Raw genomic sequence first — 13,026 nt, forward strand, 5'->3', positions numbered from 1 at the left:
AGCTCACTCCAGGCCAACACCCCGAGCCACGCGCTTCCCCAGGGAGGATTCCAGCCCCCTCCAGTACGGCCTCAGCCGAGGAGCTCCCGCTGGGCCGAATGAGGCCCAGAAAACACGACCTGCCAGGAGCGGATATCATCCACACACAAACACACTGGTGCAAATGCATACACACATGCATACACACACTCATACACATGTTCATGCAAGCCCATGTGCAAACATGCATGTGGCATATGCACGCACACACATGCATACATTTACCCACACCTACACGCACATACATGAACACACATGCACACATGCATACATTTACCCACACCTACACGCACATACATGAACACACGTGCACACACATGCATACATTTATCCATACCTACACGCACATACATGAACACACGCACACATATGCATACATTTACCCATACCTACACGCACATACATGAACACACGTGCACACACATGCATACATTTACCCATACCTACACGCACATACATGAATGTGTGCGCACACACATGCATACATTTATCCATACCTACACGCACATACATGAACACACACACACATATGCATACATTTACCCATACCTGCATGCACATACATGAACACACGCACACACATAAGCATACATTTATCCATACCTGCATGCACATACATGAACACATGCACACACACGCATACATTTACCCACACCTACACGCACATACATGAACACATGTACATACACATGCACGCGTGCATGCATGTGCACACATATATATGGACTTACACAGGCATGCACATATGCATGGTGCATATACATACACTACATACACACATGCACACACGCATATAGCTGCATACATATACACACATGCACACAATACACCCACGTATACACACATGCACGCGTGTGCATATGTACACCTGCATACATATACACACATGCACACATGCACTATATACGTGCATACATAAAAACACATGCACATATATACACACATATACCCCTGAATACATGTACACACATGTGTACATGCATAATACACCTGCAAACATATACACACATACAAATGTGTAGCACATACATTGCTCCAAATGCACACATACGCACATGCCTGCATATGTGTTTGTATGTGTGCACACACACCTCCCAAACAGTGGCTGACATCTGGTGGGGATGGATAAATATTTGCCAAATAGGTGAAAGTACACATGGACATCACAGGGGAGGCCCTCTCCCCCACAGGGCCTTTGGACCTGCCAGTCCTCTGCCTGTTTACTGTTTTCTCACCTGGCTGAATTCCACTTAGACAAGATGTTGCAACAAGGGCCTGCAGAACACACCTGGCCTACAGTTGTGTCTTGTATGGTCCACTGACTATTTTAAAAAGTTACAAGTTGGCAACATTTAAAAACTGAGAAATCTGATACAAATTCGCAAAATCCTGTGACCTTGGAAGATCATATATCTGGCAAGATAAACTCCTATTCACATCCCAGGGAGTGATCAAAGCTGGGCAGAGGATGCCTCCCCAGATGGCGAAGTTCCCTTTGCCACCGCCCGCGCCTTCATGCTCTATTGTGCCTCATCGCTCACGCGTCCACACTACTTGCTCAACACCTGCAAATGTGTGCATTTTTAGCCTCTGACTTCACCTTGCTTCCTCTTCCAGGAAGCCATCCATGAACCCCAGGGTTGGGGCTTCTCCTCGGTGCTCCCGCATCTCCCTGGATGGGGGTCGTCTCTACCAGCAGGCTGGGGGATCCCCGAGGGTCTGTGTTCTGCTCACAGCTGGATCCACTTCCAGCTCTGAGTGCCGTAGGTGTCAGGCACACAACAGGTACTCAAAAAATGTTGATGGAATCGGCAAATAATCGCAGAGCACGTTATCATGGGAATCTGGGCTGAGCTTTATAAGGGGAGCTTGAATTTAGGAGCCGAGAAGAGAATGAAAGAATCCGAGGCAGGAGAAGGTCAGGGCTGCCGGAAGGGAGTAGGACACTCACTCGTTTGGGGAAACAGTAGCCTGGTGTGGAGGTCCGGGCGGGTGCTGGGAACCACGAGGGCAGCGAGGTTGTCCTGGCAGAGTAAATGTTCGTTGTTTAGCCACCAGTCTGTGGTACTAAAGATGAAGCAACTAGAATCCTTGGGACAAAAGGCAGGTCTAAAAGTGTCCTTTGAAAGAACCCTTAGGAAAGTCACACTAGCATTTCCAGGAGCCGTGCGGCCAGTGGACCCAGGTGTGTGTGGCGTCTGCCCTCCCCCACCGCCACCTGACTCAGGAGGTACAAGAAGCAGAAACAGCCAAGGCCTGGTGTCCTCAAATAGGTGGCAGAATGACGTGGACCCTGAATAAGACGATGAGGCAGGAGAGAAGAGTGGCCTGGTGACTCGGGAACAGTCAGTGGCTGCGGTCTGCATGCAGGACTGAGGGAGCTGCCTCCAACCCTCCCCACTCCTGCTCTCCGGGGGTTGGCGGAGAAGCTTCCAAGGGCTGTGCGCAAAGGCAGGAAGTCCAAGATCCTTTTAATGAGTTTACTCAGCCTTTGGAATATCAAGTATTTGTTTTCCTAAGACTGGAAAGAAAGGGTCAACAGCCGGCCCCCTCCTGAGCAGCCCAGCTGCTTTGTCCTCAATTTGTTTGGGCCTCTAAAGAGCTCACGTTTATCAAAGGCCGTTTCGCACCTGAGGCCCCGAGTTACTGCTGCCTGGAACACAGGGCTTTAGTAATCCGCTCAAATCCCCAGGCCAAACAGTGGCACCAAACAGATCTCCTCCGAAATCACTTTGAACTTCAGTCCCAGGAGGCATTTTGGCTTATGCAGGATGGTCTTTGAAGAGGAAGTTGCTCTCTGTCCTCTGTCGGCGGCGGGACAGAGTACGGATCCAGGCGTGACTGTGCTGCAGATTTGCCAGCCTGTCCTCCTTCGCGCCGGGGCAGCCTGTCCGCCTGGGCTGCCCTCCGGGGCTCCTTTCAAAGGCTCCACTTCCCAGGGTTCACAGGCTTCAGGGCAGGAGCTGACCTAGACCACAGGCGGTCGGCAACCCGACCTCGTTTATTCCTTTGAGTTTTGAGGGTTGTTTTGGGGGGATTTTTTGGGTAATTTCTTCTGACACACTTACAGAAAAGTTGTAAGACTGGCAGAGAGCATTCCTGGATCCTTTCATTCAAATACCCCAAGAAGGAACACCTTACTACATTTAACTACATTTACTCTCTCCCTCTCTGTTTCACACCCTTTCTCTTTATACACACACACACACACGCCTACACACACACACACACATAAAATTTTTCCTTAAGTGTTTTAAAATTTAACCTCTAATGATATAATTAAACTCATTCTCCTTGTAAAACATTAAACCCTTCCAGACAAGGAGAACATCCCACTGACTCTACCTAAAGAATCCTTCGCTTTTCATTTTCCTGCATGGATGTGTGCCCCATGGAGTGACCGCAGGGTGGAACTCAGAGCTGGAATCTCTGCCCCATCTCCTGTGACACATTTTCCGCCTGTCTGCCAATGTGTTTTTATATATCCTGCAACTTAGATCTCTCCCTCAGCAACTTATCTCAGAGATCTCACCAAACTCGTATGTAAAGTCTCTGCCATTCTTTTTTAGCTGGTGCCATTAAAAATGTTTTACTCATCAGATTGGCAAAAATATTAAAGTTTGACATTATCATGTACGGGGAAAGGTGTTAAGGAAAGGTTCTCATTGGTGGGGGTGTAAATTGGAGCCACTTTAGGGCAATTTGGCACACATTTTAAAACTCACAGTGCACTCACTACGACCCAGCGGTTCCAGGTATCTGGATCTAAATGAGATCCCTCCAGTGGGCGGGCGTGGGCACATGGAGGCACGCAGCGAGCTTGCCCACGGTGGGGCTGGAGCAAAGAGTTGGAAGCTGGAATGCACCTCGGTAGGGGGTGACCAGGGACATCTCTGCAGTTGGGGAATACCATCAACCATAGTTCCCAACGTCAGATTCCCATGAAGGTTTCTTTAAAAAAACAACAAAACAGCCGGGTGCGGTGGCGCACGCCTGTAATCCCAGCACTTTGGGATGCTGAGGCAGGTGGATCACTTGACGTCAGGAGTTCGACACCAGCCTGGCCAACATGGTGAAACCCCGCCTCTATTAAAAAAAAAAAAATTAGCTGGGCATGGTACCACATGCCTGTAATTCCACCTACTTGGGTGGCTGAGGCACGAGAATCTCTTGAACCCAGGAGGCAGAGGTTGTAGTGAGCCAAGATCGTGCCACTGCACTCCAGCCTGGGCGACAGAGCAAGACTCCATCTCAAAAAAAAAAAAAAGAAAGAAAACAAAACAAAAACAACAACAAAAACCGAGACACCCAGTTCACATCCTTAGATTTTACTTTTTATTAATTTGGTCTGGGATAGGATTCAGGCATCAGTATTTTTTTTAAGTTCCTTAATGATTTTAATCGTCAGCTGGGACAGAACCACTGAGGTCCCCTGGCAGAAATGGCTCCCATATGATGCCAACAGAAAGTTTCCTGGCCGGGTGCAGTGGCTCACATCTGTAATCCCAGCACTTTGGGAGGCCGAGGTGGGTGGATCACGAGGTCAAGAGATCAAGACCATCCTGGCTAACACAGTGAAACCCCGTCTCTACAAAAAATACAAAAAATTAGCCGGGCGTGGTGGCGGGTGCCTGTAGTCCCAGCTACTTGGGAGGCTGAGGCAGGAGAATGGCGTGAACCCGGGAGGCGGAGCTTGCAGTGAGCGGAGATCACGCCACTGCACTCCAGCCTGGGCGACAGAGCAAGACTCCTCAAAACAAAATAAAAAATAAAAAGAAAGTTTCCCCATTGGCCTGCAGGTGGCATGAGTGAGCAAGACTTGGGTAAAAAAAGAAAAAAACACGGAAAACCTCACTGGGTCATTTCACTGCCCCGGCACTGCTACTATCCTGGGTGCTGTTCTTCGTGTTTGTGGGGAACTTTGCAGAGCTCCTTGATTAAGCCCAAGTCCCCACTGACCACAAACCAACACAGGGCCTCCAAACGGGGCCCCAACCCCACCTGCCTTGAGCAGGTCCTGCTGCACCCAGGCCCCTGATAATGGAGATGACCGCAATGCTCTCTGCTCACCGCTTTGAATGCATCATTTCATTTATTCCAGCTTACAACCCTAGGAGGTCGGGACTCATACCCACCCCACGGCAGGGATGCAATTTTCCTCTATGCAAATTACCAAAGAGGAAGCTGAAACAGCAATGTGGTGACTCTGAGCCACAACTTGAGGTTAGACGGCCTCTTTGTTCCCAAAGTGTGTTCCTGAGGTACCACGGGGCGTGCAGCCAACTCATCATAGCACATGCAAATGTTTTCTTTTTTTAAGGAAAACAGGAACATCTGTCAGACACCTTGCAAATTACTTCTGTTAAGTTATTTGGACCTGAGGACTTCATAAATGAAACAGGTGTTTCTTTCTCCTAGGGCACTATGAAAACATCACTAAGACACGAAGGTGCTGGTGGACTGAGAAGGTTTTGGGGAATGTCTGTCTCAGATCTCATGATCACACTACACCATAGCACTGGTGCCGCCCCTGCTGAGTACCTTTCCTGGTTCCCTACCGCCACAAGAATAAAGCCCCAAATCCACATCCTGGCAATCGGTACCCCCACGGGTGACAGTCCAGCATCCCACAGCCAAGACCCTACCATGCCGGACCACTGGACGTCCCCTCCTCTGCCAACACCATGCCACGCCAGACCACTGCTATTCATTCCCTCCTCTGAGACCCTGCCACACCAGACCATGGGATGTTCCCTCCTCTGCTGAGACCCTACCATGCCAGACTACTGGACATCTCCTCTGCTGAAACCCTGCCACGCTGGACCACCAGCTGTTCCCTCTTCTGCTCTGACTTTGCTCCCTCCTCCTCCTGAAAGAATATGTCACCCTCTCGACTTGTCAAGGTCTGCACTTGACCCTCGAGGCTAGCTCAAGGCCCATCGTGGCCAAGTAACTTCCCAAGAACCTGGCTCTGGAACCCAGGGGGATTTGCTTATTCTTTCACCTGACTTTTGAGGACCCAAAGGGCAAGGGCCAAGCCCTGTTATCTTGGTATCCCTGCATGTGCTGTGTATTTCTCATTAAAATACAAGCTCCTGGGTTCAAGGCCTCAGTACAGTTGAGCAGGTTGTGCACTGCACAAACCTTGGCTGAGCAGAAAGCAGGGACTGAAGTGTCGAGTCTGTAGGCAGGAAAACACCTTATGACTAATCCACAGAGGTGTGTCATGGACTGCAGTGGCCCATCCATGTCAGATATCCTTGTCTTCATCACCACCCTCCTATATTTTGGGCCCCCAACAGCACAAATCCTCATGCCTATTCACTGAATAAACAACAAAGTCACATGTGTGAGCCCTATTCTGTTAAAAACTCTGAAATCTTCCACAAAATGCAAGCTTTTCTAATAATAGCTAAGTGACATTTACGCGTTACGAACATAACTTACTTCATTACAAAAAACCCTTAAAACCATAAATTAAGCACTATTATTTTCATCTTCATGTTTAAATCGAGCAAATAGAGTCAGAGAGGTTACATAAGCTTTCAGAGACCACACAGCTCATAAGTGGTGGAGTCGTGCGAACATCCATCCAGGGCATGTGAGTTTGCACATACCATGAATTTAGAGCTGATGTTTGTGAGTCGGTGGTGGATTCTTCCTGACCCTCGGGTCATAGCCAAAGTGTCTTCCTCATGTGAGCAGACCCTGCTGTGGGAGAGGTCTCTTGAGGGGCCAGTTCTGCAGGATTCAGGGGCCCTATGCAACCAGGCCTTCCAGCGAGTGTGAGCACCCAATCCCCTGCATTCAATCCCTTCCTGTGTAAGGTAGCTGGAGTGACTTCTATTCATGTAACTGAATCTTGACTGCTACATTTCCTCTCTCACCTCCAGAATCCCAGTCTTGCTGACACACGTCTTAACTTCACCCCTTTCCCATTGGCAAGGTCTCTGCCTTAATTCAGGTCTGCACGGCTCCTCCCTGGAAATCGCAAGGCAACGCTCTTTTGATTCACTGTGGCTCCAGGTTTTTCACCTCTCCAATCCCACCTCGCAAACCCTGTTGCATCCCTCCCTGGGTGGGTTCAATCTTGCTGGGGAATAGGATCCAATTCACAAAGACTTAACACTATAAAAGGCCAACCTTATCTCCTAAGCCTGACAGCTGACGCGTTGGCCACTGGGTGTCGGGCTTTCTCGTAAAGGTTTGCCATGTCTTGTCCTAAGGACATCCTGAGGGAGGTACAAGTTGATCACTCCTCTTCTGAGGAGTCGGGGTTGGAGAGGGGGCGTGTGGTTGGATCTCACGTGTATTTGGTAATGGAGGGCCCTGAGAGTCGAGACCCGTCAGTTTCATTTTACCTCAAAAGCACTTTTGGCTGCTTCTCAGAGAAAGGGATTCACTTTCTATCACAATCTGCACACATCCAGTGACACAGGGTCAGGAACCTACACACGTGCCATGCATCAGCCCTGTGATATTTCCCATTCTAGTTTATTTCAGTCTGGGCAATTCTGTTCCATGCCAGCCTAGCCTATTCTATTCTATTCTATTCTATTCTATTCTATTCTATTCTATTCTATTCTACTCTACTCTACTCTACTCTACTCTACTCTACTCTACTCTACTCTACTCTACTCTACTCTATTCTATTCTATCCTATTCCTTTCTACCAATCTTACTCTACTCAATTTCACCCTGTCCTATCCCAGATTCTAACTTACCTTATTCCCTACTCATCCTTCCACCTTAGCTTTGCTTTTCTAGACTTTTTTTCTCAACCAGGATCCAGAGAGAATTAAGCTTGAACGTTCTCAGCCATTCATTGTATATCAATCATCAACCTTTATCCTAGGCACCTAGAGGGGTACTAGTTATAATCCATTTTTGTGAGAATTGAGAAAGTATTTGCTTAGATCATTTTCTACATGTTATGGTTCAGATAAGAAACTCTGGTTTGAAGTCTAAAATGATCTCACAACCACTAACGGGTCACTCACTCTATCTGCCTGCCTGCCTCTCTTTGAGGTTTATAATAGAGCCACACCCAGGCAGGGTTAACATTTAAATAAGCCCCAGATTTTCAGAACCCTGTCTTGGCAGTTGTTTGTTTTATTAATATACTAGGAGTTCCCCAAATTGAATTGGCCTCACCCTCTCAACCTCCAAGATGCTCTGTCCCTGCCAAGACAAATTTGTAACTCCCTGCTTCTCAAAAAATAAAGATCAGTCTCCATACTTCGATGTTGAGGATCTTCCGTGGCTCAGCCGCAACCTGCCCTCCTGGCCCAAGGGCTGCTGTGCCCTGCCCACCTCTCCTCTCTGTCCCCTGAGCACGTTGTTCCCTCGGTGGACTCTGGGTAGCCTTCCTCCTACAGCCCTGGCCGCCCCTCCCCTCCACAGCCCCTTCACACTCAGGTCACTCCCTAGAGGAGGGGACAACTGCCCCTCTGTCCTTCCAAAGCCATTGATGCAATGATCCCACGGCCATGTGTGTGCAGAGACTGTGCTGGGCAGTGGGAGATGCAGTGATGAGAAGGCGAGACCAGATCCTGTCCTCAGGGAGCTCAGAGTCTCATTACGGAATAATCATGGTAGATAGCATCTTTATATGCTACTGATTATGCTTCAGATACTGTTCAAAGCACTTTACACAGATGTGCTTACTAAATCGTGGAAGCAAGCCCATCAGGCAGTACCATTATTCTTCCCAGTTTGCAGATGAAGACAGAGGCACAGAGAGGGTGAGCCACTTGCTCAAAGCCACACCGCTTTTCAGTCATCAAGCTGAGATTTGAATCCAGGCAGTCAAGCTACAGAACCCATGGTCTGAAACAATTAAAAACCAGAGTCTGTTCATCAGAGAAGCATAGCGAACATCTGTTATCTTCCAGGGGAACGTGACTTAGGCTTGAGGTCAGGAAAGGATTTTCTCTCTTTAGACTCATGCCCCGGGTCAAGACCATCTATAAACTGATGACTCTAAAGTTATTTCTTCAGATGCACCTGCACACCTGCCCCATCAGTATCGCCATGGGCATGCCCGAGAGGCCTCTCAAAATCTTCAAGTCCCCAAACAAACTCTTAGTCTTCCTCCACACACCATCTCCTTCCACACTTGTCCCCACCAGAACAGTTAACACCCATCCTCCTGATAGCACAGCCCCAAGCTTCTGAATCATCTGACTCGCGCCTCTCTCTCTCTCTCTCTCTGTTTCTCTCTCGCACACACCCCTGTCTCTTTTCCCACCCAAATATTGCTTCTCTGAGACCAAAGAGTTTTGTGTGGGTTTTGGGGTTGCTTTTCTCTGTTTGCTTTAATCACCCTATGCCCGGCGTCTAGATCAGGGTCGGCATATGCATTCTCTGCATTCTCTGTCCCTGGTTAGGTAACAGATACTTCAACCTTTGCAGACCCTGCGGTCTCTGTGGCAAGCATTCCACCCTGCCGCCAGGGCACACAGCAGCCACAGATGATATCTCGGTGAGGGAGCGCAGCCGTGTTCCCATAAAGCCTTATTTGTAGACACTGAAAGTTGACTTTCCTCTGAGTTTCATGTGTCACGAAGTAGTCTTCTTTTGATTTTTTCTAATTATTTGAAAATGTAAAAATAGTTATTCGCAGGCAGACTAGATCTGGGTTCAGTCCCAGAGCCGTCGTTGGCTGCCCCCTAGCCTGCCTGTAATAGGTGCTCAATGAATATTTGCTGACTGAGTGGGGAACATGACCTTGGATCTTAAATGTGAGATAAGAGAGAATTGATCAGATGACGGAGAGAAATAACCATCCAGACAGAGGGGGCGGCATGGGACAGGTACAGGTGCGGAGGGGAAGGTGGCCCTTTCTGGTGCTTGAAGGAAGCTCAGGGCAGCTGGAGTGGAGAAAGCCAAGTGCTGAGGTTGAGGACTAGCATTAGCAGGGTCGCGAGGACCCTCTGTGCGTGGACATTGTTGAACAACACTGGGTAATAACGACCAAGGCTGAGCCAGGGCTGGTCCGTGTGGGGACTTTCCCACGCGCCACCACAGTCACTGCTCCCTGTCAACACTCCTGTTAGGTGGGCACCACTATTATCTCAATAGACAGATGTAGAAATTGGGTCACAGAGAGGTTGAGTAACTTGCCCAGGGTCACACAGCCTGTCGGTGGCCAAGCTGGGATTCAAACCCAGGCAATGGGCTCCAACACCCTTCCCCCATTCATGGGACAAGGCGGGCTTGCCATAGCAAATAAAAATTCAGGGCCGGGCATGGTGGCTCATGCCTGTAATCCCAGCACTTTGGGAGGCAGAGGTGGGTGGATCACCTGGGATCAGGAGTTCGAAACCAGCCTGGCCAACGTGGTGAAACCCCATCTCTACTAAAAATACAAAAATTAGACGAGCGTGGTGGTGGGTGCCTGTAATCCCAGCTACTCAGGAGGCTGAGGTGGGAGAATCTCTTGGACCTGGGAGGTGGAGGTTGCAGTGAGCCAAGATCACACCATTGCACTCCAGCCTGGGGGATAGAGTGAGACTCTGTCTCAAAATAATAATAATAATAATAATAATAATAATAATAATAATTCAGGACTTCATGTTAATATGAATTTCAGATAAGCAATAAATGATATTTTAGTATAAGTATGTCCTATAAAATATTTGAGGCATACTTATACTAAAAATTGTTTCATTGTTTATCTGGATTTCAAATTTAACTGTATTTTTATATTTTCTCTGGCAATCCTGTGGCTAGGGCGAGCCCTGGGCACAGGAGGGATCCCTGTAGATGCTTAAAGACATGAGGATAGGAAAATGTTCTTATCTGCACCCCAAGAATGCCAGCGGTGGCAGGAGACAGGCAGCCCACGTGTGGACTGCAGGATCCTGTTTCACAAACTGAGATGCTCAGAGAAGGGCAAGCTTGAGGCAGGAGCGTGTGCACGCGGCAGGCTCCCGGGGCTGCACCTGCTGAGGATCTAGCGCCCCACTTTCCTCTGCATTTCTCCATTTATCAGCCACCTGCCACAGTCTGTCATTCCCCAGGCTCAGGAGGAGAGTTGGAGGTGGCTTTGTGAGCCACACAGAACAGGGAGGAAGCACAGCCGCCTGGCCTCCTGCTGTCGAAAGGGCGTGGCAGCCTCTAATTCAAACACAGGCAGGCTGGTCCTGGCCCCTGGGTGAAAGACAGCCGGCCCAGGGTTTTCATTAAGGAGGTAGAGAAGAATGCTTTCTTGGCCTGCTGCCCTTTCTCCTGCCACAGAAGAGGGGTCGGGAGCTGTGAGTGGGCTACAACTGCACCCCAGAGCTCCGGCAGGGAGCCCAGTCCCCGGCTTCCGGGCTGACAGTCCCCGAGACAGAGGCGGCCTTCATCCCTGGCCATCACACTGGTGCTTCAAGGCAGACAGCTGCCTCTTGCCGGAGCAAAGCGTTTACTAACTAATTTGTCAATGGCCAGCCTGGAATTCACCCTCTTCAGCTTGATCATAAGAAAAATTTAGCTCAAATTTAGAACTGCTGAACAGTTCAGAGGCCACGGTGTCAAGTGCTACCTGGAGAGGTGGGGAGCTACCCACTCCAGTGCTGTTTTCCACTTCATGAGGACCCTGGTGGTACCTGCTCAGCACTGGGCATTGTGAGGATTCCTGGGAACCCACATTCACGTAGTGCAAAGTGGCCCAAACCTTGAAAAGGCTGGAAACCAGTATGCGTGTCAGCTGGGTTGAAACAGGTACATGATTCAGTGAGACCAGGTGTGTACAATAGGGAGTAGTGGAGACTGGGGCAAATTGGGACTGCAGGCCTCATCTGAAAAGGGGAAGCCGCTGCTCCGTTCCGCTGAATGTCGCCATTTGGTGAACGTATGCTGGGACATATGACTTTTCATTGGTGTTGGAAATCTAGATTTAAAAAAAAATGTAAAGACTCAAATTCTGGGGAAACAGAAAACATCTATGGACCAGGTTTGGCCTAAGAACTGCTAATTTACAACTTCTGCATAAATCACACTGCAGTCTGTGTGTGGACTCCGTACAGGCATACACACGTGTGGACACCCAGGACTCCAACTCGTGAGGCCTGTGGGGAAATGTCACATGCAGGAGACACACACACACCCACACCACCACCACCACCACACACACACCACACATACACCACCGCAACCACAAACACACACAACCACACGCACAACCACACGCATACACAAATGACCACACACACAACCGCACACATATAAACACACCACACACAAAACCACAACCACACACACAACCACAACCACACACAACCACATACACATACAACCACACACAAGAACATACACAACCACACACAACCACAAACACAACTACACACACAACCACACACCACCATACCACAACCACACACACAAACCCCACAAAGCCGCACACCACACACCACCACAAACACACACCACCACAAACACACACAAACACACACACCCAACCACAACCACACACACACACCACAACCAAACAAAACACTGCACACACACCACCACAACCACACACACAACCAAAACACACACCACACACACCACCACAATCACAAAAAAACACAGATACAACCACACACATCCACACACACAACCAAACATACACACCACCACATCCACACACACAACCACACACACACCACCACAACCAAAAAAAACCACACACAAACTGCCACAGCCACACACCCAACCACACACACAACAAAACACAACACACCACCAGAACCACACACACAACCATACACACAGTCACACACACAACAGCCACAAACACACACAACCACACACATGCAGACAACCACAACCACACACAGCCACATACACATCACCACAACCACACACAACCCCACACACACCACCACCACCCACAACCACACACAGCCACATACACATCACCACAACCACACACAACCCCACACACACCACCACCACCCACAACCACAACCACACACACAACCACACACAGACAACCAACCACTCACTTCAGAGCAG

At 49.0% G+C, this 13,026-nt stretch overlaps 2 annotated features.

The window, feature by feature from the left end:
• Positions 2,444 to 3,388: an enhancer, noted in NCBI's record as "NANOG-H3K27ac-H3K4me1 hESC enhancer chr12:130529633-130530577 (GRCh37/hg19 assembly coordinates)". NCBI's record gives its function as "activates a minimal SCP1, AML or CMV promoter by ChIP-STARR-seq in naive H9 embryonic stem cells {active_cell/tissue: H9 hESC(naive)}" and the evidence as "EXISTENCE:reporter gene assay evidence [ECO:0000049][PMID:30033119]".
• Positions 4,700 to 4,994: an enhancer, noted in NCBI's record as "tiled region #1535; HepG2 Activating non-DNase unmatched - State 13:Ctcf, and K562 Activating non-DNase unmatched - State 12:CtcfO". NCBI's record gives its function as "activates a minimal TATA promoter and a strong SV40 promoter by Sharpr-MPRA in HepG2 and K562 cells {active_cell/tissue: HepG2 | K562}" and the evidence as "EXISTENCE:reporter gene assay evidence [ECO:0000049][PMID:27701403]".

The sequence above is a fragment of the Homo sapiens genome, chromosome 12 (assembly GCF_000001405.40).
Source record: "Homo sapiens chromosome 12, GRCh38.p14 Primary Assembly".
Classification (NCBI taxonomy): domain Eukaryota; kingdom Metazoa; phylum Chordata; class Mammalia; order Primates; family Hominidae; genus Homo; species Homo sapiens.